General features: G+C 50.3%; 1 protein-coding gene across 4 annotated transcripts in view, besides 7 other annotated features; it reads left to right on the top strand.

Annotated features, from left to right (window-relative positions):
* Window positions 2,172-2,351: a silencer, noted in NCBI's record as "silent region_9977". NCBI's record gives its function as "represses an Ori minimal core promoter by ATAC-STARR-seq in GM12878 lymphoblastoid cells {active_cell/tissue: GM12878}" and the evidence as "EXISTENCE:reporter gene assay evidence [ECO:0000049][PMID:35858748]".
* Window positions 2,492-2,881: a silencer, noted in NCBI's record as "silent region_9976". NCBI's record gives its function as "represses an Ori minimal core promoter by ATAC-STARR-seq in GM12878 lymphoblastoid cells {active_cell/tissue: GM12878}" and the evidence as "EXISTENCE:reporter gene assay evidence [ECO:0000049][PMID:35858748]".
* INSR (insulin receptor) overlaps window positions 2,753-24,254 on the top strand; it is a 182,150-nt gene continuing 160,648 nt past the window's right edge. For all 4 annotated transcript variants that reach the window (XM_011527989.4, NM_001079817.3, XM_011527988.3 and 1 more), the window contains exon 1: window positions 2,753-3,375. In XM_011527989.4, the coding sequence (XP_011526291.2) occupies window positions 3,276-3,375 (100 nt within the window). In that variant the 5' untranslated portion in view covers window positions 2,753-3,275. The remainder of the gene's footprint in view (window positions 3,376-24,254) is intronic.
* Window positions 2,902-3,181: a silencer, noted in NCBI's record as "silent region_9975". NCBI's record gives its function as "represses an Ori minimal core promoter by ATAC-STARR-seq in GM12878 lymphoblastoid cells {active_cell/tissue: GM12878}" and the evidence as "EXISTENCE:reporter gene assay evidence [ECO:0000049][PMID:35858748]".
* Window positions 3,322-3,461: a silencer, noted in NCBI's record as "silent region_9974". NCBI's record gives its function as "represses an Ori minimal core promoter by ATAC-STARR-seq in GM12878 lymphoblastoid cells {active_cell/tissue: GM12878}" and the evidence as "EXISTENCE:reporter gene assay evidence [ECO:0000049][PMID:35858748]".
* Window positions 3,512-3,571: a silencer, noted in NCBI's record as "silent region_9973". NCBI's record gives its function as "represses an Ori minimal core promoter by ATAC-STARR-seq in GM12878 lymphoblastoid cells {active_cell/tissue: GM12878}" and the evidence as "EXISTENCE:reporter gene assay evidence [ECO:0000049][PMID:35858748]".
* Window positions 3,553-4,311: an enhancer, noted in NCBI's record as "H3K27ac-H3K4me1 hESC enhancer chr19:7292867-7293625 (GRCh37/hg19 assembly coordinates)". NCBI's record gives its function as "activates a minimal SCP1, AML or CMV promoter by ChIP-STARR-seq in naive H9 embryonic stem cells {active_cell/tissue: H9 hESC(naive)}" and the evidence as "EXISTENCE:reporter gene assay evidence [ECO:0000049][PMID:30033119]".
* Window positions 8,214-8,715: an enhancer, noted in NCBI's record as "H3K4me1 hESC enhancer chr19:7288463-7288964 (GRCh37/hg19 assembly coordinates)". NCBI's record gives its function as "activates a minimal SCP1, AML or CMV promoter by ChIP-STARR-seq in naive H9 embryonic stem cells {active_cell/tissue: H9 hESC(naive)}" and the evidence as "EXISTENCE:reporter gene assay evidence [ECO:0000049][PMID:30033119]".

The following is a 24,254-nucleotide window of genomic DNA, read 5'->3' as shown; positions in this document are numbered from 1 at the left end:
GTAGTCCCAGATACTTGGGAAGCTGAGGCAGGAGAATAGCTTGAACCCTGGAGGTGGAGATTGCAGTGAGCTGAGATTGCTCCACTGCACTCCAGCCAGGGTGACAGAGCGAGACTCTGCCTCAAAAAAAAAAAAAAAAAAGATGTGCACGGTTCAAACTCATGTTCAAGGGCCCACTGCAGTTCTCACCCATGGCTTCACTTTCTCCTCTTTCTTTTCTGCAGCTACAGTGAATGCCTGGTTCAGTTGCAAGAATGCCTTGCCCACTCTCCTCTGGGCCTTTGCTCATGCCTTCCCCCACCTGAAACACATCCCTATGGCTTCCCTAGGATGGCTCCTCTTCATTTTCAGACTTAAGCTCAAAATCACATCCTCAGTCAGGTGCAGTGGCTCACGCGTCTGTAATCCCAGCAATTAGGGAGACCGAGACAGGCAGATCTCTTGAGGTCAGGAGTTCAAGACCAGCCTGTCCAATATGGTGAAACCCTGCCTCTACTAAAAATACAAAAATTAGGCAGGCGTGGTGGCATGCACCTGTAATCCCAGCTACTCTGGAGGCTGAGGCAGGAGAATTGCTTGAACCTGGGAGGCGGAGGTTGCAGTGAGCCAAGATCGTGCCACTGCACTCCAGCCTGGGCAACAGAGTAAGATCCATCAAAAAACAAACAAACAAAAAACCCCATGTCCTCAGCAAACCCCTCCCTATGCACCTCCCATTTCCCTCAGCTCATTACACACTCAATTATTTTAAGGGCTCTCTCCCTGGCTCAGTTGTGAACTCCATAAGGAAATGGGTCATGTTTATTTTGCTCACTGAAAAATCCCCTATTACTTATTGCTTGTTGATTCTCCCACTCAACAAATATTTATTAAGCAACAGATTTGTCAGGCACTGGGTTTAAGCAGTGAAACAAGACCGAAAAGATTTCCGCCTTCACGGGAAGGGGAGAAGACACAGAAAACGAATAAGAATTTCAAGGCCAATCATGGTGGCGCATGCCTGTAATCCTAGCACCTTGGGAGGCCAAGGCAGGAGGATTGCTTGAGGCCAGGAGTTCAAGGCTGCAGTAAGCTAGGATTGCACCACTGCATTCCTGCCTGGGTGACAGCAAGATTCTGTCAAAAGGAAAAAAAAAGAAAGAAAAGAAAAAAAAAAAACAAACAATTGCAGGTAGTGGGGTAAACATGCTATGAAAATGAGAGAGAAGGGGCCAGGCGCAGTGGCTCAGGCCTGTAATCCCAGCACTTTGGGAGGCCAAGGCCGGTGGATCACCTGAGGTCAGGAGTTTGAGACCGGCCAGGCCAACATGGTGAAATCCTGTCTCTACTAAAAATACAGAAAATTAGCTGGGTGTGCTGGCGCATGCCTGTAATCCAAGTTACTTGGGAGGTTGAGGCAGGAGAATCACTTGAACCCAGGCAGGTGATGTTGCAGTGAACTGAGATCTGGCCATTGCACTCCAGCCTGGGCAACAGAGAAAAACTCCATCTAAAAAAAAAAAAAAAAAAAAAAAAAAAAAAAAAAAAAAAAAAACAGAGAGAGAGAGAGAGAGAAGGAAACGGAACTGGGGGGAGGATTTGCAAAAATATGGTTAGGGATGGCACTTCAGAGATGAAGCCATCCTGGAGTGTTACGGGCAAGGGAAATGCTGGGGCAAAGGCCCAGAGGCAGGAATAGGTTTGGCCTGTTGCATGAACAGTGGGTCCAGCTCCTAGCAAACTGTTTATTGAATGAAAGAAGAATGAATGCCTTGGGTCTAGGGTTGTGCTGGGCGCTTTCTTAAGTTTTCTTTCCCGGGTACCTCCCCAGAACTGGCATGCAGGTATTATTAAACCCATTACACAAGTGAAACTGGCCCAGAGACAGAAAAGTCCCTGGTCCAAGACCACACAGGAGTGAGGGGTGGAGGAACCCTCCTCCCATTGAGTTCTGGCTTTCCTATACTGAAAGCCCCTTCCTCTCCTGCAGTAAGGTAGGTGGAACCGCTGTCCCGCCTTGTTGGTGAATGTCGTTGCTAGACTTCAGACACATACAGGCTGGTCTGCTGAAAATCAGAGATGTCCACCTGCGCCCTATTCGAGGTCTCCGGCGTCTTCTTTGGCGTCGTCTTTGCCCTTTCAGAAGCGTCTGCACATTTTTCCAGGTGTCATTTCTCCAACTTGAACACAGGGAGCGCACTGGGCACGCGGGCACGTGGCTGTCCCCAGGGGCCTGGCTTGGGTCTCGCCCCTGGGCCGGGGCGCACTCGCGGGCGGGACATCTGGGGGCGCCCACGCGCTCTGGGACGAGTGTCGCTGGCCAGGCCCGGACTGAGGAAAGGCGAGTGAGACACTACTCGCCTGGGGTGCAAAATTTAAGGGAGTGAAAAAAAAAAAAAAAGAAAGAAACCAAAACCACCTCGAGTCACCAAAATAAACATTTTAATGCAGTATTTTTTAAAAAATCAACAGGAATCCTCCAAAGCCCACTATGAACAAAATAGCAAAATGGTAGAGAAAGGATCTGTGCCGCTGCGTCGGGCCTGTGGGGCGCCTCCGGGGGTCTGAAACTGGAGGAGACTCGGGGCTGTAGGGCGCGCGGATCTGGGGCGCGCCCTCGGTCCCGGCGCGCCCAGGGCCTCCCGCGCGGGGCCCGGCACAGGGAGGCGGGGAGGCGGGCGGGGCGGGGCGGGGCCGGGCGGCACCTCCCTCCCCTGCAAGCTTTCCCTCCCTCTCCTGGGCCTCTCCCGGGCGCAGAGTCCCTTCCTAGGCCAGATCCGCGCCGCCTTTTCCCGCGGCCCGCACGGGGCCCAGCTGACGGGCCGCGTTGTTTACGGGCCCGAGCAGCCCTCTCTCCCGCCGCCCGCCCGCCACCCGCCAGCCCAGGTGCCCGCCCGCCAGTCAGCTAGTCCGTCGGTCCGCGCGTCCCTCTGTCCCGGAGCCCGCAGATCGCGACCCAGAGCGCGCGGGGCCGAGAGCCGAGAGACAGTCCCGGGCGCAGCGCGGAGCTCCGGGCCCCGAGATCCTGGGACGGGGCCCGGGCCGCAGCGGCCGGGGGGTCGGGGCCACCACCGCAAGGGCCTCCGCTCAGTATTTGTAGCTGGCGAAGCCGCGCGCGCCCTTCCCGGGGCTGCCTCTGGGCCCTCCCCGGCAGGGGGGCTGCGGCCCGCGGGTCGCGGGCGTGGAAGAGAAGGACGCGCGGCCCCCAGCGCCTCTTGGGTGGCCGCCTCGGAGCATGACCCCCGCGGGCCAGCGCCGCGCGCTCTGATCCGAGGAGACCCCGCGCTCCCGCAGCCATGGCCACCGGGGGCCGGCGGGGGGCGGCGGCCGCGCCGCTGCTGGTGGCGGTGGCCGCGCTGCTACTGGGCGCCGCGGGCCACCTGTACCCCGGAGAGGGTGAGTCTGGGGGCGCGGGCGTGGGCGGGGAGCGCCGCGATGGGGAGAGGACCCCACCCAAGCCAAAATCGAGCCCCCGCTTGTGGACTGAGAACCCTCCCCAGGGGCGGGGGGCGGTGGCCAGGACGGTAGCTCCTGCATCGCGTAGGGGGAGCGGGAAGCCTCTGACCTTGGCCTTTGCCCGCCCGGGCTCGCGCCTCCGCGCCCTGCGTGCCCGACCTGAGCCCGAGGAACCTTGCCCCGGTGCCCGCCCCGCCGCGGGCTCCTCTCTGGAGCGCGCCTCCGACCCGTGCCCCGGCCCCTCCGAGCCCAAGTCGCTCCGGAGACACGACACGCGTCATCTTTGGGTCGCGGCCGGGAAGTGGGGTCACTGGGTCTGGACAGCCCCGAACAGCCAAGTCCCCCGAGCGCATATGGTGTAGGTAGAGCCAAGCGCCCTGAGTGCCTCACCGGTGGGTGACGCTGCCTGGGGTCAGGGACTGCAGAGCCCCCCTCTACCCAACTACCTTGGATCTAGGCCCGTGGCCACCCCGGACTCTAGGTCCATGTTTACCCTTTTGGGTTCTGTTTCCAGATGTCCGGAGGCAAATTCTAAAGCCTTAGCAACAGCAGCAATTGTAGCAGAAGTAGTGGCGGTTTTTTACCCTATTTATTGTAATTGGTATCACCGCACGCCACAGCCTAGTCTATCTTATCTCTCTGGACTGTCACAGTGGCCCCCGGAGGCAGATACAGTTATGCACCCATTTCACAGAGGAGTAAACTGAGGCTCATGTAGGACGCATAACTCCCTTGCCCTAAAGTCAGTGCCAGAGCCAGGACTTGAGCCTCTGTGTGTCCCGTTCTGCCCAAGAATCTGGACTACTGTCCCTTGTCTGCTGTCTCCTTGACCCCTCCTCTCCCCTCAGCCCTGCGCTTCATGAAGGAGCCTTTGACCTTGAGTGAGCCTTTCGTTCCCCCTGACCCCATGGGCCCCTCTCCCACGTGTGGGCAGCATCTTCCTTGGGCTTGACAATAGGCACCTTTGGGGTTGTAAGATGAAGATGGCGCAATCATTTAAGGAATATAGCCTGGGTTTCCCACTGTGGGGTCTGAGGCCCTGCTTTAAAAATATCTGTTGGGTTACTGTTTCAGATTTCTCCATAAAAGGAAATCAGTCGTGATGAGGAAGGGGTCAGGGAGGGAAGGAATTGAAGCTCTTAAATGTATTGATGGGGAAACGGGTGCATGTAAAATCAGGTGCTAGAGTGGACCAACCGGGTTTGCTGAGTCGACTCTGTCAATCACATAATGTCTAAAAGCCCCGGGCCCACCCCCCCCCAGCCCCGCCCCCAGGTGCCTGGGAGACAGTAGGTGCTCAATGAAGGGTGGCGGTTAGTTGGAGTTCTTGTTAAGAAAATCTGGCCAGCTGCGGTGGCTCAAGCCTGTAATCTCAGCATTTTGGGAGGCTGAGGCGGGCGGATCACGAGGTCAGGAGATGGAGACCATCCTGGCCAACATGGTGAAACTCCCTTCTCTGCTCAAAATACAAAAATTACCTGGGTTTGGTGGCGTTCGCCTGTAGTCCCAGCTACTTGGGAGGCTGAGGCGGGACAATTGCTTGAACCCGGGAGGAGGAGGTTGCTGTGAGCTCAGATGGCACCACTGCACTCCAGCCTGGCCAAAGAGCGAGACTTTGTCTCAAAAAAATAAAAAAAAAGGCGGGGCGTGGTGGCTCACGCTTGTAATCCCAGCACTTTGGGAGGCCGAGGCGGGTGGATCACCAGTTCAGGAGATCACGACCATCCTGGCTAACACGGTAAAACCCTGTCTCTACTGAAAAATAGAAAAAATTAGCCGGGCGTGGTGGCGGGCGCCTGTAGTCCCAGCTATTCCGGAGGCTGAGGCAGGAGAATGGCGTAAACCCGGGAGGCGGAGCTTGCAGTGAGCCAAGATCGTGCCACTGGGCGACAGAGCGAGACTCTGTCTCAAAAATAAATAAATAAATAAAAAGAAAATCCAAGATGAGTGGTTTCGAACTATGCCAGATTCTATGTGTGCGTGTGTGTGGTTCCCTGTTCTTCTGTTCCTTGTAGCTTTGGTAATTAATTGTGGATCTGTGCCTGGGCTTTCAGGGTCAGTAAATGGATTTACCATTTCTTTGCACATTTATGGCTTCCATATGGGCAGGGGTTTATGGTTTGTTGTTGTTCACCGTTGCATTTCTAGAGCCCAGAACGATGCCTGGCACATAGTAGGTGTTCAGTAAATATTTGTTCTGCAGTGGGGCACAAGTGGTGGAGTTCCTGGGTGTACTGGGCTCCTTTATCATCTTAAGGAGTTCCTTATTCTCTGCATAATACCTTCCTAAGAATTAGAAGAGCAAGCTCTCAGCAGGTGCTGTTCTATGCGCTTTGCATATATAATCTCAGTTAATCCTCACGGCAAAACCCCACGAGGTGCGGTTTAATCTTCCCTTTTCACAAGTGAGAAAACTTCGCTTGAGGCCAGCAGGCAGCAGGGCTGGGATTGCAATCTAGCTAGTGTGGCTGCAGAGCAATGGTTTCTTAACAAATCTTTGTTCTTTTGAGTCCGAGCCTCCGTACCCCCCACGATTGGGGTGATGGTGAACAAAATCCTGTCAAATAAATGGGCTGTGATGCCTCTTGAAGGCTTGGGGAGGGGCAAAGAACTTTTCAGATCATTAATCTCTAATGTCAACCAATATGGCTTTTTTTTTTTTGAGACGGAGTCTTGCTCTGTCACCCAGGCTGGAGTGCAGTGGCACGATCTCAGCTCACTGCAACCTCCACCTCCCAGGTTCAAGGGATTCTCCTGCCTCAGCCTCCCCAGTAGCTGGGATTACAGGCGTGTTCCACAACACCGGCTTATTTTTTGTATTTTTAGTAGAGACAGGGCTTTGCTGTGTTAGCCAGGATGGTCTCGACCTCCTGATCTTGTGATCCACCCGCCTCGGCCTCCCAAAGTGTTGGGATTACAGGAGTGAGCCACCGTACCTGGCCTTTTTTTTTTTCTTTTTTTTTTTTGAGACAGGGTGTCACTCTGTCACCCGGGCTGGAGTGCAGTGACACGATCTTTGCGACCTCCGCCTTTCAGGTTCAAGTGCATCTCCTGCCTCAGCCTCCTGAGTAGCTGGGATTACAGTCGTGTATCACCACCCTTGGCTAATTTTTGTATTTTTAGTAGAGATGGGATTTCGCCATATTGGTTAGGCTGGTCTCAAACTTCTGACCTCAAGTGATCTGCCTGCCTCGGCCTTCCAAAGACCTGGGATTATAGGTGTGAGCCATCACTCCGGGCCCAATATGGCATTTTGATTGGGATGAAGGGTGGAGGAAAATCAGTGTGATTTTTGTATCTATCTCTCTAGCTATCTATTATTTTTTGAGATGAGGTCTTGCTCTGTTGCTTAGGCTGGAGTGCAGTTGGGCAATGATGGCTCACTGCAGCCTCGACCTCCTGGACGCAAGCCATCCTCCTATTTTAGCCTCCGTAGTAGCTGGGACCACAGGCACACGCCACCCTGCCTGGCTAATTTTTACTTTAATGTGTAGAGCTGAAGTCTTGCTATTTTGTCCAGGCTGGTCTCAAACTCCTGGCCTCAAGCGATCTGCCTGCCTTGGCCTCCCGAAGTGCTGGGATCACAGGCATGAGCCACGGTGTCTGGCCTCTGCAGTTATTCTTATTCTTTGCTTCTCTCCTGGAGACCTGCTTCTTGCCCTTCCCCATTCATGCATAGAGACCACAGGGTGTGGGCTGAGTCCCCAGGGCTCCCCACCTCACCCCACTCTACCCTTGACTTCCATTCCTCTTTGGTTTAAGCAGAACTCTCAATCTTGGCACTGCTGACATTTGGGGCTGGATCATTCCTGGTGGTGGGGGCTGTCCTGTATGTAGAGTGTTGAGCTGGAACCATGGTCTCCACCCATGTGGTCCTGGGAGGATCCCCTTCCCCCCAGGCATGACAACCACTAATGTCTCCAGACATTGCCAGGCACGTCTCTGCAGGAGTTAACCTTTTCCCTGTCTGAGACATTTACCCATCTGGGCTCTTGCTCTTTCTCCTCTCTTTGTTCAATAATCCTCGGCCGGGTGCAGTGGCTCACGCCTGTAATCCCAACACCTTGGGAGGCTGAGGTGGGCGGATCCCCTGAGGTCAGGAGTTTGAGACCACCCTGGCCAACATGGTGAAACCCCATCTCTACTAAAAATGCAAAAATTAGCCAGGTGTGGTGGCGGGTCCTTGTAATCCTAGCTACTTGGGAGGCTGAGGCAGGAGAATCGCTTGAACCTGGGAGGCAGAGCTTGCAGTGAGCCGAGATCACACCATTGCATTCTAGCCTGGGCAACAGAGAGAGACTCTGTCTCAAAAAAAAAAAAAAAAAAGAAAAGAAAAAAGAATCTTCATTTACCCACGTGCTTTTTCAGCCTCTAAACACCCAGTACCCCCCAATCCCCATTACCTACCACTGACCTCCAGCCTCCACCCTGTCCAGCTTCCCCAGGCCAGTCCTCCCTGCCCTTTCCATCTCACTCTTTTCTCACTGTTCTGCCCCCAGCATCTGGCTTGCATCTCCGCTGCTTTACCGATGGCTCTCGAAGTTAATCTCTCATCTCCCAGTTGCGTCTCCTGCAGCCTCACCTCACTTGACCCCTCTGGGTTTGACATTGCCAGTCCCCCCTCCTGGAAGGCTGTGTCTCCCGTCTCACCTGTGCCTAAGTTCTTCTGTTTTACTGTTCTCTTCTCCTTCTACCTGGGCTAAGATGTTGGCTCTCTCTTCCCAGAGGGTCAGTGTTTCCTTTAATCTTCTCTCAGCTCACTTTTTTTTTTTTTTTTTTTTCACTTCTTCACCCGGGCTGGTGTGCAATGGCATGATCTTGGCTCACTACAACCTCCGTCTCCTGGGTTCAAGCAATGGTCCTGCCTCAGCCTCTCCAGTAGCTGGAATTACAGGCATGTGCCACCCCGCCTGGCTAGTTTTTGTACTTTTAGTAGAGACAGAGTTTCACCCCATTGGCCAGGCTGGTCCCAAACTCCTGACCTCAAGAGATCCACCTACCTCAGCCTCCCAGAGTGCTGGGATTACGGGCATGAGCCACCGTGTCCGGCCCTTTTTTTTTTTTTTTTTTTTTCCAATTTTTATTTCTTTTTAGAGACAGGATTTTGCTCTGTCACCCAGGCTGGAGTGCAGAGGTTTAGTCCTAGCTTACTGCAGCCTCCAAGTCATGGCCTGGAGCAGTCCTCCCACCTAGGTTCCCCAAGTAGCTGGAATCACAGGCAGGTGCCACCATGCCCAGCTAATTGAAAAATTTGTTTGTAGAGACAGAGTCTCACTATGTTGCCCAGGCTGGTCTTGATTTCCTGGCCTCAAGTGAGCCTCCTGCCTTGGCCTTCTGAGAAACTAGGATCACAGGCAGGCACCACCATGACTAGCTAATTTTTAAAATTTATTTGTAGAGACAGAGTCTAGCTATGTTGCCCATGCTGGTCTTGAATTCCTGGCCTCAAGCAACCTGCTTGCCTCCGCCTCCTGGGTACCTGGGCTCACAGACAGTCACCACCATGCCTGGCTAATTAAAACTTTTTTTTTTTTTTTGTAGAAACAGGGTCTTGCTATGTTGCCTAGGCTGGTCTTGAACTCCTAGTTCAAGCAGTCTTCCCTCCTGGGCCTCCCAAGTGCTGGGATTATAGGCATGAGGAACCATTGCGCCCAGCTAAGAAATTTACATAGATTCCGACTTCTTCATCTGAACAGGGGTCAGCAAACTATGGCCCTCAGGCCAAATCCCACGGTTTTTGTAAATGCAGTTTTATTGGCATGCAACCACACTCATTTGTCTACTCATCATCTATGACTGCGCAAAAATGCCCCGACACGGCAGGTTGAGTAGTTAAAACAGGAATTCCATGGCCAAAATATTTACACTTTGGCCCTTTACAGAACAGCGTTTGCTGACCTCTGATCTGGAACAGACGCCTTGAGGTTTCATTCATGATAGCATGCCTAATAGCTTGTGCAGTCCCTGGTACAACTCGAATGAAGTGAGTGAAATGAAACGCTATGTCTTTCTCTTTACACCGCAAGAGATGTTAAAGAAACGTGTGTCATTTGCTGCACTGAATATACGGATTCCAAGGATGAGAAAAATCACCGTGATGTTGCCTACTTAGCCATGTGTATTTATTTAAACAGCTATATTGGCATTGAATGAGGATTTCATGCTCTCAACCCTGTATCTAGAACCCAAAATATAACTGGTGTATATAATGAGATTTTTTTTTTTTCTCTCAGGCCTCTCTTGTGTTAATTTCTGTTAAGAATACTTCTGGGCCAGGTGTGGTGGCTCACGCCTGTAATCCCAAGCACTTTGGGAGGCCGAGGTGGGTGGATCACTTGAGGTCAGGAGTTCGAGACCAGCCTGACCAACATGGTGAAACCCCATCTTTACTGAAAAAATACAAAATTAGCCAGGCGTGGTGGCGCATGCCTGTAATCCCAGCTAGTTGGGAGGCTGAGGCAGGAGAATCGCTTGAACCTGGGAGGTGGAGGTTGCAGTGAGCCGAGATTGCGCCACTGCACTCTAGCCTGGGTGACAGAGCGAAACTCCATCTCAAAAAAAAAAAAAAAAAAGAATATTTTTGGCCAGGTGCAGTGGCTCATGCCTGCAATCCCAGCACTCTGGGAGGCTGAGGTGGGAGGATTACATGTGTCCAGGAGTTTCAGATCAGCCTGGACAACACAGCAAGACCCTGTCTCCACTAACAATAAAACAAAAATTAGCTGGGCATGGTGGCATGTGTCTGTAGTCCCAGCTACTTGGGAGGCTGAGATGGGAGGACCTCTTGAGGCTGGAAGGGCAAGGCTGCAGTGAGCTGTGATTGTACCACTGCACTCCAGCCTGGGCAACAGTGAGATCCTCTCTCTGTCTCAAACAAAAAAAGAATACTTCTTGGGGTGGCCTGGTTGATATTTTGCAGCTGCATGGTATTTACAGTTTTTAATTAAATAGTGACGGGTAATGCATTCTCATTGCAAAAAGAAAAATTACAAAAGTGTAGAAAGGAAAAAAAAAACACAGAAGTCCTTCTGCAAAATCTTGTGGTGGGGTGCAGTGGCTCACACCTGTAATCCCTGGACTTTTTAGGAAGCTGAGGTGGGAGGAACACTTGAAGCCAGCAGTTTGAGACCAGCCTGGGCAACATAATGAGACATTATCTCTAGAAAAAGTTTAAAAATTAGCTGAGCATGGTGGTGTGTACCGGTAGTCCCAGCTACTCAGGAGGCTGAGGTGGGAGGATCGCTTGAGCCCAGAAGGTTGAGGCTACAGTAAGCCATATTCATGCCACTGCACTCCAACCTGGGTGATAGAGCCCGACCCTGTCTCAAAAAGAAAAGAAATAATAAAAAAAAATCTTGTCCCCCTGTCCCCAAAAGCATTCCATTCATGTCCAGGGAGGTAACTGTGCCATTGGTTTATGTATCTTTTTGATGTTTAGTAATTTTTTAGGCTAGGTGTCATGGGGCCACTCCTGTAATCCCAGCACTTTGGGAGGCCGAAGCAGGTGGATCTCTTGAGCCCAGGAGTTCAAGACCAGCCTGGGTAACATAGCAAGACCCCGTCTCTACAAAACCCTACAAAAAAATTATCCAGATACAGTGGTGAGCACCTGTGGTCCCAGCTACTAGGGAGGCTGAGGTGGGAGGATCACCTGAGCCTGGGAAGTCGAGGCGCCAGTGAGCTGTGATTGCACCACTGCATCCAGCCTGGGTGACATAGTGAGACTGTGTAACAACAACAACAACAAAATATTTTAAACATTATCATACAGTAAAATTGGCTTTTTAAAGGTGTACCATTTTATGATTTTTAAGCCATGTGTAGAGTTGTATGGCTATTGCCACAATTAGGATAGAGAACAGTCTCGTTGTTGTCCAAACTCCCTCAATTCACCCCTTTATCACTAAACCACCTCCACCCCTAACCACAGATCTGTTCTCCATCCCTATAGTTTTCTCTAGACTTTAAAAGATTTTATCTTATAATTGGATTAATATTCCTAAAGTTGAAATTTTAAATTTGAGTCTGGTTGATCCTCATCATTCCCAGATCCCATATTTTCTTTTTAAAATTTAAAATTTAAATTTTTATTTTGAGAGGCAGGTTCTTGCTCTGATACCCAGGCTGGAGTGCAGTGGTGTGGTCCTAATTCCCTGCAGCCTCCAACTCTTGAGCATCAACGATCCTCCTGCCTCAGCCTCCTGAGTAGCTGGGACTACAGGCACACACCACCATGCTCAGCTAGTTTTTATTGTTATTTATTTATTTATTTATTTTTGAGACGGAGTCTCACTAACTCTGTTGCCCAGGCCAGACTGCAGTGGTGTGATCTGGGTTCACTGCAACCTCTGCTTCCTGGGCTCAAGCAACTCTCCTGCCTCAGCCTTTCTAGTAGCTGGGGTTACAGGCACGCCACCATGCCCGGCTAGTTTTTTTTATTTTTAGTAGAGATGGGGTTTTACCATGTTGGTCAGGCTGGTCTCAAACTCCTGGCTTCAAGTGATCCGCCCACTTCAGCCTCCCAAAGTGCTGGGATTACAGGCGCGAGCCACTGTGCCCGGCCTAATTTTTAACTTTTCAGCAGGGATAAGGGCTCGCTATGTTGCCCAGGCTGGTCTCGAACTCCTGGCCTCAAGTGATCCTCCCATCTTGACTTCCTAAAGTACTGGGATTACAGGCATGAGCCACTGCACCTGGCCCCAGACCCTGTATTTTTGAATTCACCTACTCACTCAAATGTATTTGTAACCCTCAAACCAGCATGCTCAGTGCCTTTCTGGTCATTTTAGGACACTCATAAGTACGAGTCTCAAATGTGAGGTCAAGTAAGAGGGCATTCCACCTTCTTGCTTCAGCCCTTATGCGTCAGATTCATACAATCTGCACACTGAGGATTAAAACTAGTCCTTTTTGAGCAGGCGCAGTGGCTCATGCCCAGCGCTTTGGGAGTCCGAGGCGAGTGGATCACGAGGTCAGGAGATCGAGACCATCCTGGCTAACATGGTGAAACCCTGTCTCTACTAAAAATACAAAAAATTAGCCAGGTGTGGTGGCGGGCGCCTGTAGTCCGAGCTACTCCGGAGGCTGAGGCAGGAGAATCACTTGGACCCAGGAGGTGGAGGTTGCAGTGAGCCGAGATTGTGCCTCTGCACTCCAGCCTGGGTGACAGGGTGAGACTCAAAACAAAAAACAACAACAAAAAAACCTGAGTCCTTTTTGTGGTTATTTGGTGCCACATTTTTAGCATTTTTGTGCTTTCAGTTGGTGATGGGGCTGTTTCAAATGCCCCCCAGGGTGCTGAAGCCCTGCTCTCTACTCTTCCTTGGCTAAGGAGGGCTGTCACCACCCTTGTGGAGAAAAGGCAGCGTGGCGGGGCACGGTGGCTCACATCTGCAATCCCAGCACTTTGGGAGGTTGAGGCAGGTGGATCACTTGAGGCCAGAGTTTGAGACCAGCCTGGGCAACATGGTGAAACCCCATCTCTACTAAAAATACAAAAATTAGCTGGGCGTGATGGCGCACACCTGTAATCTCAGCTACCTGGGAGGCTAAGGCACAAGAATTGCTCGAGCCTAGGAGGTGAAGGTTGCAGTGAGCCAAGGCGGTGCCACTGCACTCCAGCCTGGGCAACAGAGTGAGACCCTGTCTCAAAAAAAACCCAAAAAAACAAAAAAACTCCAAAACCAACACACACACACAAAGGCATGTGTTACATAAACTTTGTTCAGGCATGAGTTCTATTACTGTTGGCCGTGAGTTCGGTGTTAATGAATCAACAATATAGATTCAATAGTGTCTTTCAACAGAAACACACATAAAACAAGGCTAGGTATTGATCCATGGATAAATGTGTTGTGGCCAGAAGTTCGCAGGTACTTACCCTCGCATTTTCCTAGGAACAATGGTTCAGTATTCACTAGTTCAACATTCAGGGGAATTTCACAGAGCCAAACTACCACCAATAACAAGAATCGGCTGCAAGTGGTTTAAAACTGGTGAATCTGTGGCTCATACCCGTAATCCCAGCACTTTGGGAGGCCGAGGCAGGTGGATCACCTGAGGTGGTGAGTTCGAGACCAGCCTGGCCAAAATGGTGAAACCCCGTCTCTACTAAAAATACAAAAATTAGCCGAGCACGGTGGCTCATGCCTGTAGTCCCAGCTACTCAGGAGGCTGAGGCGGGAGAATTGCTGGAACCCGGGAGGCAGAGGTTGCAGTGAGCCGAGACTGCACCACTGCATTCCAGCCAGGGCAACAGAGCAAGACCCCATCTAAAAAAACCAAACCAAACCAAACAAAACTGTGGGTTTGTCATTTTCCGTTTAGAATCCTTTGAATGCAAATGCCCTTTTTGTTGTATTTTCATCTGCGTGGAAACCGCTGGGTTGATACCTTTTGGAAAGTTCATGAGATGTCCAAAAACCCCTGGCCCATGTTTCAGGGAGGGGAATCCCTGCCCTCTGCCAACACTGGTGGCAGGGAGAGGCAGCAGTGGCTCTCGGGATTTTATTTATTTCATTTATTCATTTACATTTTTTTGAGAAAGGGTCTTGCACTGTTGCTCAGGCTGGAGTGCAGTGGCGCAATCACAGCTCACTGCAGCCTCGACCTCCTGGGCTCAAGTGGTCCTCCCACCTCAGCCTCCTGAGTAGCTGGCACTACAGGCGTGTGCTACCACGACTAGCTAATTTTTGTATTTTAGTAGAGATGGGGTCTCACCATGTTGCCTATTATTATTATTATTATTATTACTTTTTTTGAGGCGGAGTCTCACTCTGTCGCCCAGGCTGGAGTGCAGTGGCGTGATCTCAGCTTACTGCAAGCTTCGCCTTCCGGGTTCATGCCATTCTCCTGCCTCAGCCTCCTGAGTAGCAGGGACTACAGGCGCCCGCCACTGCCCCCGGCTAATTTTTTGTATTTTTAGTAGAGACGGGGTTTCACCGTGGTCTCGATCTCCTGACCTCGTGATCCCCCACCTCGGCCTCCCAAAGTGCTGGGATTACAGGCGTGAGCCACTGCGCCTGGCCATGTTGCCTATTATTATTATTATTTTGAGCAGTCTTACTCCGTTGCCCAGGCTGGAATGCAGTGTCACGATCTCAGCTCACTGCAACCTCCGCCTCCAGGGTTTAAGCAATTCTCCTGCCTCAGCCTCCTGAGTAGCTGGGACTACAGGCATGTGCCACCACGCCCAGCTAATTTTTGCATTTTAGTAGAGATGGGGTTTCCCCATGTTGCCCAGGTGGGTCTCAAACTCCTGACCTCAAGCCACCCACCTGCCTCAGCCTCTCAAAGGGCTGGGATTACTGGTGTGAGCCACCTTGTCCAGCTGGCTTGAAGGATTATTATTATTATTACTATTATTTTGAGATGGAGTCGCACTCTGTTGCCCAGGCTGGAGTGTAGTGGCACGATCTCGGCTCACTGCAACCTCTGCCTCCTGGGTTCAAGCAATTCTCCTGCCTCAGCCTCCCGAGTAGCTGGGATTACAGGCGTACACCACCACGCCCAGCTAATTTTTGTATTTTTAGTAGAGACAGGGTTTCACCATGTTGGCCAGGCTGGTCTTGAACCCCTGACCTCAAATGATCCACCCACCTCGGCCTCCCAAAGTGCTGGGATTACTGGTGTGAGCCACCGTGCCCCGCCGGCTCGCGGGGTTTTAGAAACATATTTTGTTTCCAGCAGAACAAGCTTTGCTATCCTGCGGTGCCACGTACAGACTGGCTCTAAGCTCCTGTTGGAGTTCAAAGCGGACTTGTGGGAATGAATGTTTAATTTCACATCTGGCATTTTCTTCCAGTTCCTTAGAAGTAGGATATCTCATCAGGTTTATATAAAAGCCCCTGATGTATGTTCAGGAAAGGCAGGATGCTATCATGAGATTCTTATTTCCTTTGCCTTTGTGGGAATGTGGAAACCATAGGTACTGTCTAAAAATTACCCTTTTTATCAATGCAGGCAAAAGTAGTCAGACAGGAAGGGACTCGAGAGTAGGGATGCAACTGCTTTTTTAAATTGATTTTAAAATCTCATTTATTCTTATCATTAGAGACAGGGTCTTGCTCTGTCATCCCGGCTGGAGTGCGGTGGTGTGATTATGGCTCATTGCAGCCCTGAACTCCTGGGCTCAAATGATTCTCGCGCTTCCTCCTCCCAAGTAGCTGGGACTACAGGCATGCACCACCATGCCTGGCTAGTTTTTTTATTTTTATTTTTTGCAGAGACAGGGTCTGGCTGTGTTGCCCAGGCTGGCCTCGAACTCAAGACCTTAAGTGATCGTCCCGCCTCAGCCTCCCAAAGCACTGGGATTGCAGATGTGAGCCACTGTGCCTGGTGGGATACAACTGTTTTCTGACTGCCTGTGTATGTGTCTGTGTGTGTGTGTGTGTGTTTGTTTGTTGTTGTCATTCTACTCTCAAGGATGTATCTTGTTGTTTCCTTGCAGAAGATCAGAAAAGGGAGGACCTCATATGTTCCCTCCTAATTATACCCAGTTACACGGTCTCCATACCACCTGTTACAAAGTGACTTTCTGGTCTGGCAGGACTTCTCTTGTTTTTCCTCCTGTCTTCTGTGTCCTGTCTGCTCTTGTCTGTATAAATTTCAGGACTCCTGAAATAGCACGGAAGCCCCCTTCTAATCCTGTGGTTTGATGTTTGATATTGTTAGGATTACAAAACTATGTCATAGACTAGAGGAGTCAGACATTCCAGAGTTCACAGAAGGTGTTGGTGTCCGGGTGGCTGTGGGACACAGGTGCCCTTCCTAGTCCCTGGCCTTTCATACTGTGCCCCCTGGAGCCCCTCTTTCTTTCTTTTTTCTTTTTTTTTGGAGATCGAGTCTCGCTCTGTCACCCAGGCTGGAGTGCAGTGCAGTGGCACGATCTTGGCTGATTGCAACCTCTGCCTTCCAGGTTCAAGCGATTCTCCTGCCTCAGCCTCCTGAGTAGCTGGGATTATAAGTGTGCACCACAATACCTGACTAATTTTTGGGTTTTTTGTTTTTTTTTTTGAGATGGAGTTTCGCTCTTGTTGCCCAGGCTGGAGTGCAATGGCATGATATCGGCTCATCACAACCTCCGCCTCCCGGGTTCAGGCGATTCTCCTGCCTCAGCCTCCCAAGTAGCTGGGACTACAGGCATACGCCACCATGCCCAGCTAATTTTGTATTCTTAGTAGAGATGGGGTTTCTCCATGTTGGTTAGGCTGGTCTCGAACTCCTGATCTCAGGTGATCCACCCGCCTCGGCTGCCCAAAGTGCTGGGATTACAGGTGTGAGCTACCATGCCCGGCCTGGCTAATTTTTTATATTTTTGGTAGAGACGGGTCTCAAACTTTGGCCAGGCTGGGCTCGAACTCCTGACCTCAAGTGATCCACCTGCCTTGGCCTCCCAAAGTGCTGGAATTACAGGCGTGAGCAACCGCACCCAGCCTTTGTTTTGTTTTGTTTTTTTGTTTTTTGTTATGAGACGGAGTCTCGCTCTGTTGCCCAGGCTGGAGTGCAGTGGCGCAGTCTCGACTCACTGCAAGCTCCGCCTCCCGGGTTCACGCCATTCTCCTGCCTCAGCCTCCCGAGTAGCTGGGACTACAGGCGCCTGCCACCACGCCCGGCTAATTTTTGTATTTTTAGTAGAGACGGAGTTTCACCTTGTTAGCCAGGATGGTCTCAATCTCTTGACCTCGTGATCCGCCCGCCTCGGCCTCCCAAAGTGCTGGGATTACAGGTGTGAGCCACCGTGCCTGGCCTTGTTTTGTTTTTGAGACAGGGTCTCCTCGCACTGTCGCCTAGGCTGGAGTGTAGTGGTGTGATGTCAGGCCTCCGCAATCTCCACCTCCCAGGCTCGAGCAATCCTCAACCTCCCGAGTAGCTGGGACTACAGGTGCACACCACCACACCCATCCAATTTTTTTTTTTTTGGTAGAGATGGGGTTTTGCTATGTTACCCAGGCCAATCTCAAACTCCTGGGCTCAAGCAGTCCACCCACCTCAGCCTCACAAAGTGCTGGGATTCCAGGCGTGAGCCTCTCTTTCTATCATTTTCTTCTCTCAGTTGTCTCCGTGCTACCTTTCCTGCAATATCACCTGTTGTCACTGCGTCCACCAGCATCCGTACCTGTTCCCCCATCTTCCCAATGCCCACGGGACCCACATCCCTGAGTATCCCAAAGCCCTCACAGACTCAATATGCTGCCAACTCAGCCTGTTGTTCTTGCCACTCTAAACTGTTCCTATCTCGAATGCTTCAGGCTCATTGACGATCCCTCCTCACTCTCTTCTCCCTCTTCTCTTCCATTTCTCCTGGGTATGAAGTCCTGTTCACACAAACTGCCCCTGGTTTCTGTGGTGCTATGCATGCTGTCTTCAGTACCTTCTTCATTCTGCTGCCAGAAGGCTGTTTCTCTCTTTCTTTTTTATTTTTTAATTTTATTTTTATAGACATGGGGTCTTACTGTGTTGCCCAGATTGGTCTCAGACTTCTGGACTTAAGTGATCCTCCTGCGTCAGCCTCCCCAAGGGCTGGGATTATAGATGTGAGCCACTGTGCCCTGTCTAGAGGGATATTTATTTTATTTTATTTTATTTTATTTCTTTTCTTTTTTTGAGATGGAGTGTCACTCTGTCACCCAGGCTAGAGTGCAGTGGCGTGATCTCAGCTCACTCAACCTCTCCCTCCTGGGTTTAAGAGATTGTCCTGCTTCAGCTTCCTGAGTAGCTGGGATTACAGGTGTGCACCACCATCCCTGGCTAATTTTTGTATTTTTAGTAGAGATGAGGTTTCCCCATGTTGGCCAGGCTGGTCTTGAACTCCTGACCTCAGGTGATCCTCCCACCTCAGGCTCCCAAAGTGCTGCGATTACAGGCATACGCCACCATACCGGACTCATTTTTGTATTTTTAGTAGACATGGGGTTTCACTTTGTTGGCCAGGCTGGTCTCAAACTCCTGACCTCAGGTGATCCTCCCACCTCAGCCTCCCAAAGTGCTGGGATTACAGGCACACGCCACCACACCAGGCTAATTTTCATATTTTTAGTAGACATGGGGTTTCACCATGTTGGCCAGGCTGGTCTCAAACTCCTGACCTCAGGTGATCCACCCCCCTTGACCTCCCAAAGTGCTGGGATTACAGGCGTGAGCCACTGTGCCCAGCCTGTGTGGCTCTCTTTTGGTTACCCTGTGGTATCCTGTTTTCTCAAGCTCATCCTCCCTGGTGGGTCCATGATCCCTGGAAATTGTTGGTCTTCTCCGGCCTTTTGAAATTGCTGCCTTATGAATGTCCAGAGTTGGGTATCTGCCTTTCTCTCCCAAGGAGGAAGAATCCTGAGGGGGCATCTTTGCTTTTAGGTCCCAGGGCTTTCACTGACTTCCTCCTTGCTGGCTTCTTGGTTTGTTCCAAAGATGTCCTCGGTACATCTTCTGAGACTAATGACATGATAAGTTTCTGGAAGGACTATGATCTGGATGATGAGGGTTTCATCACAGTCCTCTTTCAGTTCTGTCCTACAGATTACACTTGTTTTCTTCCTTCATCCTTTGTCTTCACTGGTTCACTGTTTCCATCTGCATTCTTCTGTTCTCATTTCTTTTTGTTGTTGTTTTATTTTTTATTTTTTAATTTATTTTTTAATTTTTTTGAGACCGAGTCTCACTCTGTCACCCAGGCTGGAGTGTAGTGGCACAGTCTTGGCTCAATGCAACCTCTGCCTCCCAGGTTCAAGTGTTTCTCCTGCCTCAGCCTCCTGAGTAGCTGGGATTACAGGCGAGCGCTACCGTGCCCGGCTAATTTTTTTGTATTTTTAGTAGAGACGGGGTTTCACCATGTTGGCCTGGCTGGTCTCGAACTCCTGACCTCAAGTGATCTGCCCGCCTGGGCCTCCTGAAGTGCTGGGATTACAGGCGTGAGCCACCGTGTCCGGCCTTGGTTTTTTTTAGAAATAGTGTCTCACTCTGTCACCCAGGCTGGAGTGCAGTGGTGCAGTCATAGCTCACTGCAGCCTCAACCTCTTGGGCTCAAGCAATTCTCCTGCCTAAGCCTCCTGAGTAGCCGGGAGCACAGACGCGCCTCACCACGCCTGGCTATGTTTTGTATTTTTAGTAGAGGTAGGGTTTTGCCAGTTGCCCAGGCTGGTCTTGAACTCCCGGACTCAAGCAGTCCACCCGCCTATGCCTCCCAATATGTTGGGATTACAGGCATGACCACTGCACCCGGCCAACATCTCTGCAGTTCTTTGTTTTAGTACTTTGTCCTTTAGCTCTGGTGGTAGCTTATCACAGTTATTTAGGTGCGTCTTTCCTTTACTTGCTGTAAGAGTGCAACCTTATTTGTCTTGAGAGTCCCCCTGGGCCTGGCACAATGTCTGGCCCACCGAGATGCCCAGCAAACGTTTGCTGAGTGAATACAGGAATGATTTCCATGTAGCTGACTTGCCGGGTCCAGAACCTGCATTTGATCCAGACGCCTCCATTCCTTCTCGCAGAGGTAGATTTGAAAGCTATTCTTGCAGGCAGGTGGAGAATCTTAAGGATCTCTGACACCCCAGTGTGTCCAAGCTCTAATTTCTGGAGGTAATAAATCTGGGAATGGATTCCATCTGGCTCAGATGGGAGACAGAACAGGTATACACAGCCAGAGACCCCAGTTCTCATCTCTTCTTTGTAGGTTTCATTATGCTGTTGTCATCATTTAAAGGAAACTGAGGCCAGGCACGGTGGCTCACACCTGTAATCCCAGCACTTTGGGAGGTCTAGACGGGTGGATCACCTGAGGTCACGAGTTTGAGACTAGCCTGGCCAACTTGGCAAAACCCTGTCTCTACTAAAAATACAAAAATTAGCTGTGCGTGGTGGCGGGCGCCTGTAATCTCAGCTACTCAAAAGGCTGAGGCAGGAGAATCGCTTGAACCCGGGAGATGGAGGTTGCAGTGATTCGAGATCACGCTACTGCACTCCAGCCTGGGAGACAGAGTGAGACTCCGTCTCAAAAATAAAAATAAATAAATGAATAAATAAATAAAAAGGAAACTAAGGCGTGCAGAGGGGTTGAAGATGTTGTCCAGGATCACACAGTTGACAGGTGACAGAGCTGGGTTGGGAAGCCAGATTCGTTAGATTTCTAGTGTGCCCCAAAACTGGTATAGGTGGTGGCCTGACACCAGAACCCAAGACTTGTTGAGGCAGGACCTCCTGAATTTAAGAGGAAGCAGTTTGAGGACTGGAAAGAATGTGGAAAGGGACGTGTGGGCCCCAGAATAGGTCAGCAGGGAGCATTTTAAGAATGCTGTTACTGGCCGGGCTTGATGGCTCACACCCATACTCCCAGCACACTGGGAGGCCGACGCAGGACTGCTTGAGCCCAGGATATTGAGACCAGCCTGGGCAACATGGTGAAACCCCATCTCTACAAAAAATACAAAAATTAGCCAGGCATGGTGGTACGCAGCTGTAGTCCCAGCTACTTGGGAGGCTGAGGCAGGAGGATCACTTGAGCCCAGGAATTTGAGGCTGCAGTGAGCTATGATTGCACCACTGCACTCCAGCCTGGGCAACATAGCAAGACTCTGTCTCAAAAAAAAAATCCTGTAACTGAAGAACAAGGACCTTTATGATTGAAAACAGGAAGTAGAAAACTCTTAGCATTGTAAAGGATTTCAGAATCTTCTAGAAAGTTCTTTCTCTGCCCTGCTCCCAACCCATCTCCCCTGCTGTTTTCATGATGGAGAGAAAATCAGGGAAGAAAGGAACACTTCCTAAGATGGCTCTCATGTCCGCCTTCTCTCCTTCTGGAAAATTCTCAGATTCAGGACCAGCACGGTCCAATACAGCTCTGCTTTGATGGAAATACTCTGTATCTGCTCTGTCCAATATGGCAGCCACCATCCACGGGTGGCTCTTGAGCCCTGGAAGTTGTGGCTGGTAAGACTGAATTCTTTTTTTTTTTTTTTGAGATGGAGTCTCGCTCTGTCATCCAGGCTGGAGTGTAATGGCACAATCTCGGCTCACTGCAACCTCTGCCTCCCAGGTTCAAGCGATTCTCCTGCCTCAGCCTCCCTAGTAGCTGGGATTACAGGCATGCGCCACTCCCCCGACCCCGCTAAGTTTTGTATTTTTAGTAGAGACGGGGTTTCACCATGTTATCCAGGCTGATCTCAAACTCCTGACCTTGGGTCATCCACCCGCCTTGGCCTCCCAAAGTGCTGGGATTACAGGCGTGAGCCACCGCACCTGGCTGAAACTGAATTTTATTTTCACTTTAATTCATTGAAATGTCAATGTAAACTTTTATTTAATTCATGGAAATGTAAAAAAAATTAGTACTCAGTTCTGTTACTGGAAAACTCTCCCATATATTTGGAACAACTTGGTTATGTGAACTTGAGGTAGTAGGCGGGACTCGTCTCCAGAGGCGGGGATCCAGCCCTGGACCAAATGGAGGACTAGCCACAAGGACAGGGCTGGCCGGGCGCAGTGGCTCACGCCTGTAATCCCAGCACTTTGGGAGGCCAAGGCAGGTGGATCACCTGAGGTCAGGAGTTCGAGACCAGCCTGGCCAACATGGTGAAACCTTGTCTCTACTAAAAATACAAAATTATCTGGATGTGGTAGTGCATGCCTGTAATACCAACTACTCGGGAGGCTGAGGCAGGAGAATCACTTGAACCCAGGCGGCAGAGGTTGCAGTGAGCCGAGATCATGTCATTGCATTCCAGCCTGGGCAACAGAGTGAAACTCCCTCTCTGACCAAAAAAAAAAAAAGTGCTGTCTAACACCACCAGCTCACCCTCGAATTCTTTCCTGGGTGAAGCCAAAAACCCTCCCGGGGTAAGGCTCAATTTTGGGGCTTGCCTCTTCTACATCAAACCTACATTTTCGATGATACTCTTTATAAAATCTACATAGACAAATCAATTTTTTTTTTTTTTTTTTGAGACACAGTCTCACTCTGTTGCCCAGGCTGGAGTGCAGTGGCCTGATCTTGGCTCACTGCAAGCTCCGCCTCCTGGGTTCACGCCATTCTCCTGCCTCAGCCTCCCGAGTGTAGCTGGGACTACAGGCACCTGCCACCATGCCCAGCTATTTTTTTTTTGTATTTTTAGTAGAGACGGGGTTTCACATGGTTAGCCAGGATGGTCTTGATCTCCTGACCTCGTGATCCACCCGACTCGGCCTCCCAAAGTGCTGGGATTACAGGCGTGAGCCACCACGCCTGGGCGACAAATCAATTATTTTTAAAGAAAAATGAGCCTCCGTTTCGAGATGGGCTGCCAGGGTAAAGCACACACCACATCTCGTAGGCGTCATGGGAAAAAAATCCTGCAGACCAGGGATCCCCAACCCTTAGGCCACAGACCAGTAGCAGTCCATGTCCTGTTAGGAGCTGGGCTGCACAGTAGAGGTGAGCAGAGGGCAGGTGAGCATTGCCGCCTGAGCTCCGCCTCGTGTCAGAACAATGGCAGCATTAGATTCTGATAGGAGCTCGAATCCTGTCGTGAACTGTGCATACAAGGGATCTAGGTTGCCTGCTCCTTATGAGAATCTAACTGATGCCTGAGGATCTGAGGTGGAACAGTTTCATTCTAAAACCATCACCACCCATCCCGTGTTCGTGGAAAAATTGTCTTCTACCATTGGTCCCTGGTGCCAAAAAGGTTGGGGACCACTGCTGTGGACTATCTCATTAATCATTTTTTTTTTAGGATTGATTATATGTGGGAATTATTTATTTATTTATTTATTTTGAGATGGAGTCTTGCTTTGTTACTTAGGCTGGAGTGCGACGGGATGATCTCAGTTCACTGCAACTTCCATCTCCTGGGTTCAAGCGATTCTCCTGCCTCAGCCTCCTGAGTAGCTGGGATTACAGGTGTGAGCCATGGTACCTGGCCCATTCGGCATATTTTAGTACGGAGATGGTGGTCAGGCACGGTGGCTCACGCCTGTAATCCCAGCACTTTGGGAGGCCGAGGTGGGCGGATCACCTGAGGTCAGAGTTCGAGACCAGCCTGGCCAACATGATGAAATCCCATCTCTACTAAAAATACAAAATTAGCCAGGTGTGGTGGCACACGCCTGTAATCCCAGCTACTCGGGAGGCTGAGGCAGGAGAATTGCTTGAACCCCAGAAGTGGAGTTTGCAGCAAGCCAAGATCATGCCACTGCACTCCAGCCTGGGCAACAGAGTAAGACTCAAGTCTCAATTAAAGAAAAAAAAAAAAAGAAAAAAGAAAATATTAGCTGTCACTTAGCACCCTCTTCCTCATTGCCTTTTTCTACCTGTACAAAGAGTGGCCATTAACCAGGTACCCATTATGAAGAACTTGAAGCATCCTTCACGCCCACTCAGAGATGTTAAAAGCCAGCAGAAGTCCTCGTGTCTATTTCTGCCTTCATTTCTAACATCCTCTGGGTATTTTCTGTCCCAGTGGTAAACTGCTCTATTGTCTTTCACTAATAGGGACACATACGGCTTTAATGAATTAAGAGTTAGATTCATAGGATATTTAAAAAGAAAAGCAATTCTTGATTGTTCCCTACAATTATAGCTGTTTAATCTTTACTCATAACAACTTTAGTGAGACAGAATTCACATGACATACAATTCACCCATTTTAAGTGTGCAGTTAGGTGGTTTTGAGGACATTTACAGTTGTGCAACTGTGACCACAGTCAGTTTTAGAATATTTGCATCATCTTCAAAGAAACCCTGTACCCTCTAGCTACTACTTTCCATCCCCCATTTCCCTAGCTCTTGGCAGCCACGAATCTATTTTCTGTCTCTATGGATTTGCCTCTTTCGGATTTTTTTGTATGAATGGAGT

This window comes from Homo sapiens, chromosome 19, assembly GCF_000001405.40.
Source record: "Homo sapiens chromosome 19, GRCh38.p14 Primary Assembly".
Lineage (NCBI taxonomy): Eukaryota > Metazoa > Chordata > Mammalia > Primates > Hominidae > Homo > Homo sapiens.
Note: the sequence above shows the minus strand (reverse complement) of the source record. Positions and strands in the feature narration are given on the sequence as shown.